Below are 14,226 nucleotides of genomic sequence, written 5' to 3' on the forward strand. Positions count from 1 at the left end.
AAAGTGATGGCTCACACCTGTGATTCCAGCACTTTGAAAGGCCGAGGCGAGCGGATTATTTGAGGTCAGGAATTCGAGATCAGCCTGCCTAACATGGTGAAACCCCGTCTCTATGAAAAATACAAAAAAAAATTTAGCTGGGCGCGGTGTCTTACACCTGTAATCCCAGAACTTTGGGGGGCCTAGGCAGGTGGATCACCTGAGGTCAGGAGTTTGAGATCAGCCTGGCCAACATGGTGAAAATCCGTCTCTACTAAAAATACAAAAATTAGCCAGGCGTGGTGACGCGTGCCTGTAATCCCAGCTACTCGGGAAGCTGAGGCAGGAGAATTTCTTGAACCCAGGAGGCGGAGGTTGCAGTGAGCCGAGATCCGGCCACTGCACTCCAGCCTGGGCAACAGATCGAGATTCTGTCTCAAAAAAAAAAAAAAAAAAAAAAAAAGGCCGGGCGCGGTGGCTCACGCCTGTAATCTCAGCACTTTGGGAGGCCGAGGCGGGTGGATCACAAGGTTGGGAATTCGAGACCAGCCTGACCAACATGGAGAAACCCCGTCTTTACTGAAAATACAAAATTAGCCTGGCGTAGTGGCACATGCCTGTAATCCCAGCTACTTGGGAGACTGAAGCAGGAGAATCGCTTGAACCGGGAGGTGGAGGTTGCAGTGAGCTGAGATCGAGACATTGCACTCCAGCCTGGGCAACAAGAGCAAAACTCCGTCTCAAAAAAAAAAAAAAAGAAAAGAAAGAAAGAAACTAGTGGGCTGGCTGCTGAAGGGGTCAAAGTCAGGAGCAGGGACTGCCCATCAGACTTGCACTGTCAGTGAGCTGAGAAATCGGAAATTCCCTACACGGGGTGGGGGGGCGGGGAGCTGGAGCCTGGAGCCACATGGGGCCAGACACAGCCTGTGTCCTTCAGTCCTTCCAAGCCACACCTTTGTCCACCCCAGGCCTCCTGGGCTCCCTTAGACAGGGGCCACCATCTCTGAGGAGCTTAGGAAGACCCCCAGGCTTAGGCAGAGACAGCGAGTTGCTGAAGGCCATCCGGAAGGCGGGGGGCCAAGGCGGAGCCAGGATCAAGAGCCCTGCTGGCTGCCAGGCAAGGCTGCTTGTAGGGAGAAGAAGGGGTAATGGGGACCTGATGCTCACCTCACCCAGAGGACCAGGTAGCGGGGAGGAGGCCCCTTGCAGAGAGGGATGGATGGATGGATGGCAGGATGCTGAGGACACACACAAAGGAGGTTCCAGCTGGCAAGGGAACATGTTGATGAGCTGTGGGTACCGGAAGAGGGAATGAGATCTCAAGGGGCAGGGGCAAGGAGGGGCGAGGTGGGGAGCATCTCCTACAGTGAGAACCTCAGGTCGTGAATTAAACCGGCAAATCCAGCCAGATTCGGTGGCTCACGGCTGTACCAGCTCACGTGGCTCCCGGCACTTTGGGAGGCCGAAGTGGGCAGATCGCTTGAGGTCAGGAGATCGAGACCAGCCTTGCCAACATGGTGAAACCCCATCTCTACTAGTAATACAAAAAAATTTAAAAGGCCAGGTGCGGTGGCTCACGCCTGCAATCACAGCACTATGGGAGGACAAGGCGGGCAGATCGTGAGGTCAGGAGATCGAGATCATCCTGGCAAACACAGTGAAACCCCATCGCTACTAAAAATACAAAAAATTAGCCGGGCATGGTGGCATGCACCTCTAGTCCCAGCTGCTCAGGAGGCTGAGGCAGGAGAATCGCTTGAACCCGGAGGCGGAGGTTGCACTGAGCTGAGATTGTGCCACTGCACTCCAGCCTGGGTGACAGAGCAAGACTCCGTCTCAAAATAAAAATAAAAATAAATTAGCCAGGCATGGTGACGAGCGCCTGTAGTCCCAGCTACTCGGGAGGCTGAAGCAGGAGAATCGCTTGAACCCGCGAAGCAGAGGTTGCAGTGAGCCAAGATTGCGCCACTGCACTTCAGCCTGAGCAACGGAGGGAGACTCCATCTCAAAACAAAACAAAAACAAACACACAAACAAAACCTGCAAATTCTGCGAAATTCTGTCTGGAGAGTCAAGGAGGGAGGGGAGTGTGGGCAGAGGACAAGAGGGTTGACAGGGACAGACAAGGTGTTCCCTGCACTTTCCTGCTCCTCCTCCTCCCAGAACTCCACCTCCTTGATGAACCCATCCCCATCCTCAGCCCCTCTCCCTTCACTAAGTCCCCTCCTCTTCTCTGTACTTTCCCATCCTGAAAGCCCTCCCCCTCAAAGACCTTCACCCTTTCAAGGAACCTTCCCTCACTGAGCCCCTCCCCAAGCAAAAGGTGATGGCATTTGGCCACGTCCTGGGTGTAAGACCCCCAGCATCAAGGATCCTTGCTTCCCTGGGAAGCACCCACTATGTCCCCACTTGCTCAGTCAGGGTCCCTTCCCCCACCCAAGCTCTCACTTGAGGTGGTCCTTATCCTGGAGCCACCTCTGAAAAACCAGCTCTTGAATGGCCCTCCCCCTGCCCTCCCCATCCTCAGCAGGGCATTTGATCATGGCAGGGACAGGCATTCTGAGACTCCCAAATCCAGGCTTCCAGCCCTATCTTGACCTTGAACAAGCCACGGTTTACTCACCTGGAAAATAGGGGCACCTGTGTTCTGGAGCTGTTCTGAGAGTCCTCCGTTGAAGACACACATGGGACTGCCCAGCCCCCAGCCAGTCCTCACAAAGTGCCAGCAAACACCAGGCACCCCTGCTCTTTTATCAAATCGAGTCATTAATATCCATTTCTAGAAACACTGGTTCAGTCCCGTTTATTTACCGGGTTCTCGGGCATTTGACAAATATTCACATCAGTCACAGGAACACACACTCTTTGGCCTCATTAAAAAGCAATCCTTTTCCTTAATATTGATGGCTGGCTGGCTAATCCACTGGTGATTGATGGCGTACTTGGAGTCACCTTCCCAGACAGCCTTGGCTTGCAGTCTGCAATCACCGCGGGGCGGGACGGAGCCTCCAGCCTTTCTGACGAGATGCTCCCACCCCAGCCCCCAGCATCCTCCCTGCCACCCTGTTTATCTTCTTGCCATGCCTCTTTTTTAGTTTGTTTGTTTCGTTTGAGATGGATTCTCGCTGTGTCACCCAGGCTGGAGTGCAGTGGCATGTTCTCTGCTCACTGCAACCTCTGCCTCCTGGGTTCAAGTGATTCTCCTGCCTCAGCCTCCTGAGTAGATGGGATTACAGGCACATGCCACCACACCTGGCTAATTTTTGTACTTTTTAGTAGAGACGGGGTTTCACCATGTTGGCCAGGCTGGTCTTGAACTCCTGACCTCAAGTAAGCCACCTGCCTTAGCCTCCCAAAATGCTGGGATTACAGGCATGAGCCACCATGCCCAGACGCCATGCCTCTTCTTGTAAGGACTTGGGTGAGGCGACAGAGCACAGCTCCATCCCTAGCTAGTCTTGGAGCTTTGTTTGTTTTTCCCTTAGGCGGAGTTTCACTCTTGTTGCCCAGGCTGGAGTGAAATGGCACGATCTCGGCTTACTGCAACCTCCACCTCCCAGGTTCAAGCCATTCTCCTGCCTCAGCCTTCCGAGTAGCTGGGACTATAGGAGCACGCCACCACACCCAGCTAATTCTTTGTATTTTTAGTAGAAACGGGGTTTCACCATGTTGGCCAGGCTGGTCTCGAACTCCTGACCTCAGATGATCCACCCACCTCGGCCTCCCAAAGTGCTGGGATTACAGGTGTGAACCACCGCACCCAGCCTAGGCTTGGAGTTTTGAGCCCTCCCTCCCCTCTCCCTGTTCTGTTTGCTCATCTATAAAATGGGAATCAAAAGGCTACCATTCCAGCCGCTGTGGCTCATGCCTATAATCCCAGCACTCTGGGAGGCTGAGGAGGGAGCACTTGAGCCCAGGAGTTTGAGACCAGCATGGCAACATAGTGAGCCCCCTGCCAATCCACCTACAAAAAAAAATTTTTTTAACTAGCCAGGTGTGGTGGCACATGCCTGTGGTCCCAGCTACTCAGAAGGCTGAGGTGAGAGGATTACTTAAGCCTGAGAAGTCGAGGCTGCAGCGAGCTATGATTGCACCACTGCACTCCAGACTGGGTGGCAGAGCAAGACCCCATCTAAAAACAAAAAACAAAAACAAAAACAAAAACAAAACAAAACAAAAGGTCACTGTCTGGCCTAATGTAGGAATTCATGCCTGTAATCCCAGTACTTTGGCAGGCCAAGGCAGAAGGTTTTCTTAAGGCCAGGAGGCCTGGGCAACATAGGGAGACCCTGTCTGTACCAAAAGATAAAAAATTGCTGGGCGTGGTGGCTCATGCCTGTAATCCCAGCACTTTGGGAGGCCAAGGTAGGTGGATCACCTGAGGTCAGGAGTTCGAGACCAGCCTGGCCAACATGATGAAACCCCATCTCTACTAAAAATACAAAACAATTAGCCAGGTGTGGTGGTGGACGCCTGTAATTCCAGCTACTCAGGAGGCTGAGGCAGGAGAATCGCTTGAACCCAGGAGGTGGAGATTGTAGTGAGCTGAGATCACGCCATTGCAATCCAGCCTGGGCAACAAGAGTGAAACTCTGTCTCAAATAATAATAACAATAATAATAATAATAATAATTAGCTGGTCATAGTGGCACACTCCTGTAATCCCAGCACTTTGGGAGGCTGACGTGAGAGAATTGCTTGAGGCCAAGAGTTTGAGACCAGCCTGTGTAACATAGCAAGACTCCATTTCTACTTTTAAAAATTAAAAATAGGCCGGGTGCATTGGCTCATGCCTGTAATCCCAGCACTTTGGGAGGCCGAGGCGAGCAGATCACGAGGTCAGGAGATCGAGGCCATCCTGGCTAACACGGTGAAACCCCTTCTCTACTAATAATACAAAAAATTAGCCGGGTGTGGTGGCAGGTGCCTGTAGTCCCAGCTACTCAGGAGGCTGAGGCAGCAGAATGGCGTGAACCCGGGAGGCGGAGCTTGCAGTGAGCCGAGATTGCGCCACTGCACTCCAGCCTGGGCAACAGAGCGAGACTCCATCTCAAAAAAAAAAAAAAAAAACATTTTTCACTCTGAGGAACTCTTAAAATTCAGTGTCCCCTCACCCTACTCCTGTCCCAGAGAGCGACCCAGGAAATCCCCAAAGCCACAATGCATTTGGCATGCCCTTCCCTTATGGCCCATAGAGTGGCATGAGGACTAAGGGAGCCAGACTGGCTGGGGGAACACGTGGGCCAAGAGGCTGGGGACCCTGGGACAGACATCACTGCCCCCTATTCCCCCTTCCCCACCCACACACAAGCCCTTGACGTTGTTTTTTTGGTTTTTTGTTTTTTTCAAGACAGAGTCTCCCTCTGTCACCCAGGCTGGAGTGCAATGGCGCCATCTTGGCTCACTGCAACCTCCGCCTCCCAGGTTCAAGCGATTCGTCCTGCCTCAGCCTGCCAAGTAGCTGGGATTACAGGTGTATGCCACCATGCCCAGCTAATTTTGTATTTTTAGTAGAGATGGGGTTTCACCATGTTGGCCAGGCTGGTCTCAAACTCCTGACCTCAAGTGATCTGCCCGCCTCGGCCTCCCAAAGTACTGAGATTGCAGGCATAAGCCACTGTGCCCGGCCTAGAAACCCTTGACTTTGAGTTTGAAGCTTTGGCCATGCTAGCCAGCCTTCCTGCATGGCCCTAGGCTGGCCGGCTCTGCCACCTCCACAGGGAGCAAGTGGTTTGGGTAGCAGCCTCCCCCTTTATCCCAGCCTTTGCCTCCTGGCAGAACAGACAGAGAAGAGGCCCAGGCAATTCTCGGAGCTGGTGCCATGCCAACCTGGCAGGGGTCTCAGATGGAAAAGGGCAGGGAGCCTGGGATGACTGTACACTCTGTCCCCACTGCTCTGGGACAGATAAGCTTCAGTTGCTACTATTTATTTATTTACTTATTTATTTATTTTTGAGACAGAGTCTCACTCCATTGCCCAGGCTGGAGTGCAATGGCGCAATCTCAGCTCACTGCAACCTCTGTCTCCTGGGTTCAAGTGATTCTCCTGCCTTGGCCTCCCGAGTAGCTGGGACTACAGGCACGCACCACCACGCCCAGCTGATTTCTGTATTTTTAGCAGACACAAGGTTTTATCATGTTTGCCAGGCTGGGGTCAAACTCCTGACTTCAAGTGATCCACCCACCTTGGCCTCCCAAAGTGCTGGGATTACAGGCATGAGCCACTGTGTCTGGCCAGTTGCTACCATTCATTGAGCACCTACTATATGCCAGGCACTGTGCAAAGTGATGTAAATACATCACGTCTGTGTTAGCCCACTTTGCATTGCTCTAAAGGAAAACTTGAGGCTAGGTAACTTATAAAGAAAATAAGTTTACTTGGCTCACGGTTCTAGAGGCTTGTACAGAAGCATGGCGCTGGCATCCAATTGGCTTCTGGTGAGGCCTCAGGAAGCTTTTAGTCATGATGGAAAAGAAGGGGAGCCAGCATGTCTCACATGGCACCAGAGGGAGAAAGAGGGAGAGGAGAGACACCCCAGACTCCTTAAAACAATCAGCTCTTTCCTAAACTAATAGAGCAGCAGTCTCCGACCTTTTCAGCACCAGATACCAGTTTTGTGGAAGAAAATTTTTCTGGCTGGGCGAGGTGGCTCACGCCTGTAATCCCAGCACTTTGGGAGGCTGAGGTGGGTGGATCACCTGAGGTCGGGAGTTCGAGACCAGCCTGACCAACATGGAGAAACTCCATTTCTAGTAAAAATACAAAAATTAGCTGGGCGTGGGGGCGCATGCCTGTAGTCCCAGCTGCTTGGGAGGCTGAGGCAGGAGAATCGCTTGAACCGGGGAGATGGAGGTTGTGGTGAGCCGAGATTGCACCTTTGCACTCCAGCCTGAGCAACAGGAATGAAACTCTGTTTCCCAAAAAAAAAAGAAAATTTTTCCATGGACTAGGCGGGGTGGTGGGGGGATGGTTTCAGGATGATTCAAGCACATTGCATTTATTGTGCACTTTATTTCTATTATTATTAGACTGTATTATGTAATGAAATAATTCTACAACTCACCATCATGTAGAGTCCGTGGGAGCCCTGAGCTTGTTTTCCTGCAGCTAGACAGTCCCATCTGGGGTGATGGGAGACAGTGACAGATCATCAGGCATTAGATTCTCACAAGGAGCGTGCAACCTACATCCCTCGCATGCGCAGTTCACAACAGGGTTCCCACTCCTATGAGAATCTAATGCCACCACTGATCTGATAGGAGGTGGAGCTCAGGTGGTAATGGGAGTGATAGGGAGCAGCTATAAATACAGGTGAAGCTTTGCCCCCTTGCCTGCTCCTCACCTCCTGCTGTGCAGCCTGGTTCCTAATAGGCCACAGAGTGGTACCCCAACCTGAGGTATCAGCAACCTCTGTAATAGAGTGAGAACTCACTCATGGCCATGGGGAGGGCACCAAGCCATTCTTGAGGGATCCACCCCCATGACCCAAACACCTCCCACCAGACCCCACCTCCAACACTGAGGATCACATTTCAACATGAGATTGGGAGGGGACTAATATCCAGATGACAACCTTGAAAGGTGGGTCCTGTTCCCATTTCACAGATTAGAAGCTAAGGCTGGGAGAAGCACATGGACTTGCCCAAGGCCACAGAACTGGGAAGTGGGAGGTGCCAGGATTCAAAAGCAGGACTGTTGGGCTCCTCTGTCTCTCCCCGTCATCACTGTCCCAAGTGGCTCAGCTGAGAAGATTGATTCCAAGAGATAAGAGGGGAAAGGACACTCAGAGGTGGTGGTCACATGAGACCAATCACCAGGTGTCATCCTTGTGTCCCCAGCTTCTCCCAACAAGATACCCTGGGGCACAGAGGGACCCTCCCCAAGCCTCTGAGTTGGTTCAATCCAGCAGCCCATCCTCAACAGACAGGTGCTGGAGTTCATCAACTTGCCTCCAGCCCACTGACTCCAGGACGACCCCCAGCCCTGCATATATGCCGCTGCAGGTCTCCCTGAAACCCATTTGTGCCCATTTCCCAGCCTTCCATGTGCCAAAGACCCCCAGGAAAGGGGGCTTGGATCCTGGCCTGAAACCCCCTGCCAGCCCCCCACAAGCAGCTGGGGAATGGCCCACCCTCACCCTTAGGCCATCTCTTCCCACCCACCTGGCCCAGGGTCCCATGCCAGTCTCTGTCTCCCTCTGTGGGGCCTATAAATTAGGGGCTAAGCAGTGTTGGAGGGCCTGTGCTGTGTTTGTCTCTGTGCTGGTGACAGTGACAAGCTAGTCTCTGCAAGAGAAGGTGATGTGGGAGCAATTGCTCTCTGCCTCTGCTGGGGGGGTGGGGCACCACCCTTTCTTCCTGGGTGCCAGGCTCTGCACTGCCCAACTCACATGCCCAGACAAGGGACCTCCAGGTGAATGCCCGAGTCTGAGGGCCACACAGGGACTGAGGTGGACACTGAGGAGCCAGGGCCCTGAACTTGGTGGAGCTAGGTTGGTGGCAGCAGTGCAGGGTGGCCTGAGCCACGAGGGGATGGGGGGTTAGAAGAAAAGCCCCCCACCCCTAACCAGGCCAGGACCCAGCCCTCCCCACGGTGAGCGACACAGCAGGCTGAACCCACACAGACTCCGACCCTAGCTGGGGGTCAGGGGACACCTGCTTAAGAAGTAGGTGGTGACCAGGCACAGTGGAACATGCCTGTAATCCCAGCACTTTGGGAGGCCGAGGTGGGTGGATCATCTGAGGTCAGGAGTTTGAGACCAGCCTGGCCAACATGGTGAAACCCCATCTCTACTAAAACTACAAAAATTAGCTGGGCATGGTGGCGGATGCCTGTAGTCCCAGCTACCCGGGAAGCTAAGGAGGAGAATTGCTTGAACCTGGGAGGCAGAGGTTGCAGTGAGCCGAGATTGTGCCACTGCACTCTAGCCTGGGCGACAGAGCAAGACTCCATCTCAAAAAAAAAAAAAAAAAAAAGTTGAAGAAGAAGAAGAAGTAGGTGATGCTTCTTACCCAACCAGACCTCCTGACTCATTCAATTGGTCCCCAAGTCCCATCCCTCTGACTCAACCGATTGGTCCCCAAGCCATCTCCCTCCTAGAGGGCTTTTTGTCCATTTCTCGCCCTTCATCCTCAAGACCTCTCTCCCTGCTCTGGAGTCACTGTCTCCTCCTGAACCCCTATGGTAGCGCAACACCAGCTTTCTGCCTCCAGTTCTCTCTTCTCCAGCCATGAATTCACCAGAGCCATTTTTTCAAAAGGAAAATCCAGTCTTCAAACTCTCCATGCCTCTCTATCACCAGTCACTCATTTAGCACACATTTTTGGATGCCACAATGTGGCAGGCATGGGGCCAGGTGCTGGGACTGCCTCTGGGAACCAGACAAAGCCCCTGCCCTCAGGGAACTCCAGGCCAGCATTGGATACAGACCAGCCAACAGATAATTACTGGAGCCTGAACCACCTGCCAGGAGTTGGGATGTATGGGTTGCTATGGACATGCAAACGCTAGCATTGAACCTGCGATGGGGGGAGGCATCCATCTTACTGTAAACATCCAAGGAGTCAAATCTTTGCCATGATTATTTCCACAGGGTAGACCTGAAAGTTAATGTATGAGTCAAAGCATGTGTTCATTTTTTTTAAAGGCTTTTGAAGATAATTGTCAAATTGCTGTCCTGCAAATATTTGTTGAAGGAGCAGAGGGAAGCAGGGAGTAGAGAGATGGGATCTCTGAAAGGAAAAAACAAAACATACCATTTTCGTGGATGGCTGAGTGGGGAGGGCTGGACCCATGCTGCCACCATGTCTTCTTTTTAAATTTTTTTAAAATTATTTTTTAAAACTTCGCTGGGTCCAAAAATTTTTTAAAATAATTTTTTAAAAATTTAATATACATAGTAGTTATACATATTTATAGGGTACATGAGATGCTTTGATACAGGCATGCAATGTGAAATAAGCACATCATGGAGAATATAGTATCCATCCCCTCAAGCATTTATCCTTTGAGTTACAAATAATCCAATTACATTAAGTTATTCAAAAATATACAATTATTCACTGTAGTCACCCTGTTGGGCTATCAAACAGTAGGTTTTCTTGTTGGTTTTTTGTTTGTTTGTTTGTTTTGTTTTGTTGTTTTTTGAGACGGAGTCTCGCTCTGTCACCCAGGCTGGAGTGCAGGGGCGCAATCTCAGCTCACCACAATCTCCACCTCCCGGGTTCAAGCGATTCTCCTGCCTCGGCCTCGTGGGTAGCTGGGATTACAGGTGTGCACCACCACACTCAGCTAATTTTTTTATATTTTTGGTACAGACAGGGTTTCACCATGTTGGCCAGGCTGGTCTCGAACTCCTGACCTCAGGTGATCTGCCCACCTCAGCCTCCCAAAGTGCTGGGATTACAGATGTGAGCCACTGCACCTGGCCAGTAGGTCTTATTCATTCTATTTTTTGTATCCATTAATCATCCCTACCTCCCCCTCACCATGTTCTCTGTCCTAGACAACGACCTGCAGCCCAGGGAGAGCAGAGAGAAAGGTTTGGGACAAATAAGCCTTAGTCATTACCATTTATTGGGCACCTACTCTAAGCCAGGCACTGTGCAAAGTGCTATAATGACATCACCTCCATGAATCCTCTGACAATCTTGAAAGGCAGGTTGTGTTCCCATTTCACAGATGTAGAAGCTAAGGCTAGAAAAGTTGTATAGTGGCCGGGTGCGTTGTCTCACGCCTGTAATCCCAGCACTTTGGGAGGCTGAGCTGGGCAGATCATCTGAGGTCAGGAGTTCATGACCAGCCTGGCCAACATAGTGAAACCCCATCTCTACTAAAAATACAAAAATTAGCCAGGCATGGTGGCAGGCTCCTGTAATCCCAGCTATTTGGGTGGCTGAGGCAGGAGAATCACTTGAACCCGGGAGGTGGAGGTTGCAGTGAGCTGAGATCGCACCACTGCACTCCAGGCCAGGCGACAGAACGAAACTCCGTCTCAAAAAATAAAAATTAAAAAAAAGAGAGAAAAGAAAAGTTGTATAGGTGTACACAAGTGTATAGAAATGTTGAGTTGAACCAACTCGGAGGCCTAGGGAGTGTCCCTCCATGCCCAGGGCATCTTGCTGGGAGAAGCTGGGGACCCCGGGATGACATCTGGCTACTGGACAAAGAGGCCTCAAGTGTGACCACCACCTCTGAGCATCCCCTGCTCTCATGTTTTTCTAGGTCAACCCTCTTAGCTGAGCCATGGGGGCCAGTGCTGAAAAGGAGAGCCCCAAGAGTGCAGCAGTCCTGTTTTGAATCCTGGCACCTCCCATTTCCCAGCTCTATGAGGTTGGGCAAGTCAATTCACTTTGCCTTAGCTTCTACATCTGTGAAATGGGAATGTGACCTGCCTTTCGAAGTTGCCAGAGGATCCCTTCAGTAACAGCTGCTGGACACCTGCTGTATGCCAGGCACGGGGCCAGGGCTGCATGATCAAAGACCTCCAGGGGCAGTGTGGACACAGGCTGGAGGGAGAGACTCCAGAGGAACTGGGAGGCCAGGTAGTGGCTGTCACAGAGGAGCAGTGAGAGAGAATGACCACTGACCCCAGCAGTGGGAGCAGGGATAAGGAGTAGATAACCGGACTTTGGTCCCTAAACTGAGACTGGGCTTAGGGTGGGAGAGGGAGGGGAGTAGAGACGTCAGGGGCTTCCATTTGAGGCCCAGATATCAGCCACCCCCTACCCCAAGCCAGCAGCAGAAAGAAGCAATGAAACTACCCCTTGCCCCCCGATAACCCCCCTACAAGCCACTTGGCAGCCTTACCCTTGCAGAAATGGGGGTGCTTTGACGACCTCCCATGGCTATATGAGGATGGGATGTCATGGAGGCCAGGAAGGCAGAAAAGGCTGTGTATGTTTCAAAGCCAGAATTCTCACTCTTCCCCTAAAATTCTCGAAAGAGCGACTGCAGTCTGGATGTGGGAGGGAGGCCTGCCCTGGTGGGTGGAGGAGGGTACGGAGGAGGGGCTCAGCCTCACCTGAGGGGCGAGGGGGTCGTCTCTCCCCACCTCTGGGAACAAGTTTTTCTTTTGTCTGTTTGTTGGTTATTTGGTTGGTTGATTGGGCTGGTGTACAATGTTTTGTTGCTGTTGTTTGTTTTTTGAGATGGAGTCTCTGGGTCACCTAGGCTGGTGTGCAGTGGCGTGATCTTGGCCTACTGCAACCTCTGCCTCCCAGGTTCAGGTGATTCTCCTACCTCAGCCTCCTGAGTAGCGGGGATTGCAGGCGCCCACCACCACATCCGGCTAATTTTTGTATTTTTAGTAGAGACAGGGTTTCGCCATGTTGGCCAGGCTGGTTTCGCACTCCTGAGCTCAGGTGATCTGCCTGCCTCGGACACCCAAAGTGCTGGGATTACAGGCGAGAGCCACTGCGCCTGGCCAGGCTTGTGTACAGTGAACTTGAGCTTCCTCAGTGCTGAAGACCTGGCTTGATCTGTGACCTTGGACAGGTTATTGCAAGCCGGAGTGTGCACTTGTGACCCAGGGGTTGGCGGGGCTGGGCTGAGTGCGGGGCAGGAAAGAGGGAACCAAATCTGGGAGACCAGCCCCTTCACCCTCTCTGTGCCCCTGCAGGTATTCGGAGGAGGAGATTCGGCAGAAAGTGGGGACATTCCGGCAGATGCTGATGGAGAAGGAGGGAGTGCTCACCAGGGAGGACCGGCCTGGGGGCCACATGTGAGTGCTTACCTGTGTGGGGATGAGGGAGAGGGGGTGCAGGCTCAGGCAGCAGCTGGGTACTAAAGGGGCCTGTCCAGGTGGCTTGGTCTGGTTGGGGCTCAGGTGAGGGGGTGGAGAGGAAGAAGATAAGGAGAAGGAGAGGAGAGCATGGTCTCTGCCCACTGGAAATGCTGGCCTGGCCCACGGACATCTGGACATCACCAAGGGCCTCCTCCTACCCTCCCTGGGTCCTACCTATGGCTCAGCAGTGGGAGGCATGGGGAAGGCAGCCCAGATCTCAGCTCAGGGGATTCTGAGCTGCAAATCGGAAGACCTCAGATATGCCCTGAACCCAACATTGTCTCTGGCCGACAAAGTGACCCCAGGCAAGCCCTGATGATTCCCTCCTATAGAAATGAAATTTGGGCAGGGTACAGTGGCTCAAGCCTGTAATCCCAGCACTTCGGGAGGCCAAGTCAGGCAGATCGCTTGAGGTCAGGAGTTCGAGACCAGCCTTGGCCAACACGTCGAAACCCTGTCTCTACTAAAAATAGAAAAGTTATCCGGGCATAGTGGCACATGCCTGTAATCCCAGCTACTTGGGAGGCTGAGGCAGGAGAATCGCTTGAACCCGGAAGGCAGAGGTTGCAGTGAGCCGAGATCCTGCCACTGTACTCCAGCCTGGTCAACAGAGCGAGATTCCATCTCAAAAAATAAAATAGAATAAAATCAAATAAAATTCAGAGTAAGCACACACTCTGGGATGTAAGAGCCCACACACCAAATCCCACTGCTACCATGACCAATGGCTTGGTGGCTAAAGAGGGTGTAAGACTGGGCATGGTGGCTCACACCTGTAATCCTAGTACTTTGGGAGGCCAAGGTGGGAGGATTGCTTGAGCTCAGGAGTTCGAGACCACCCTGAGCAACATGGTGAAACTCAATCTCTACAAAATACACAAAAATTAGCCAGGCATGGTGGCCTGGGCCTGTAATCCCAGCTACTCAGGGAGCTGAGACACGAGAATCACTTGAACCTGGAAGGCGGAGGTTGCAGTGAGCCGCGCCACTGCACTCCAGCCTGGGTGACAGAGCGAGACTCTGTCTCAAAAAAAAAAAAAAGGGTGTATGGCTTTGCTGAGGTCACGCCTCTGCCGCCTGTCACAGGATAGGAGGCACACCGGTTTGCCGTGGGCCTCTGGGTGGGCCTTGGATCAAACGGGCAAGTTATAGCAAGGCAAATATTGTCTCAGATCAGAGGCGAACTGTGAACCACTCAAAACCATACAAACACTGGAGGAGGCTGCATTATGAGGGTGGGAACAGCCTGTGCCTGGGATTGTCCAGCCATTGCTGGCCGAGCTCCATGCCTGGCAGGCACCGTGTGCTCAGGGAGCGTTGCTGAATCCACTCAGATGAGCCTTCCCCTTGTTCACCCTCAGTTTCCCCGCCCAGCACCAACATCTGATGCTTCTCTGGCTAGAAGTAAAATTAGCTGGGCTATGTGGTACATGCCTGTAATCTCAGCTACTTGGGAAGCTGA

The 14,226-nt window shown here is 52.3% G+C and overlaps 1 protein-coding gene across 2 annotated transcripts in view; it reads left to right on the top strand.

The window, feature by feature from the left end:
* Nucleotides 1-14,226, top strand: part of SRRM3 (serine/arginine repetitive matrix 3) — an 85,392-nt gene that overhangs the window by 33,693 nt on the left and 37,473 nt on the right. For both annotated transcript variants that reach the window (NM_001291831.2, NM_001110199.3), the window contains exon 3: nt 12,600-12,701. In NM_001291831.2, the coding sequence (NP_001278760.1) occupies nt 12,600-12,701 (102 nt within the window). The remainder of the gene's footprint in view (nt 1-12,599; nt 12,702-14,226) is intronic.

The sequence above is a fragment of the Homo sapiens genome, chromosome 7 (assembly GCF_000001405.40).
Source record: "Homo sapiens chromosome 7, GRCh38.p14 Primary Assembly".
NCBI classification, from domain to species: domain Eukaryota; kingdom Metazoa; phylum Chordata; class Mammalia; order Primates; family Hominidae; genus Homo; species Homo sapiens.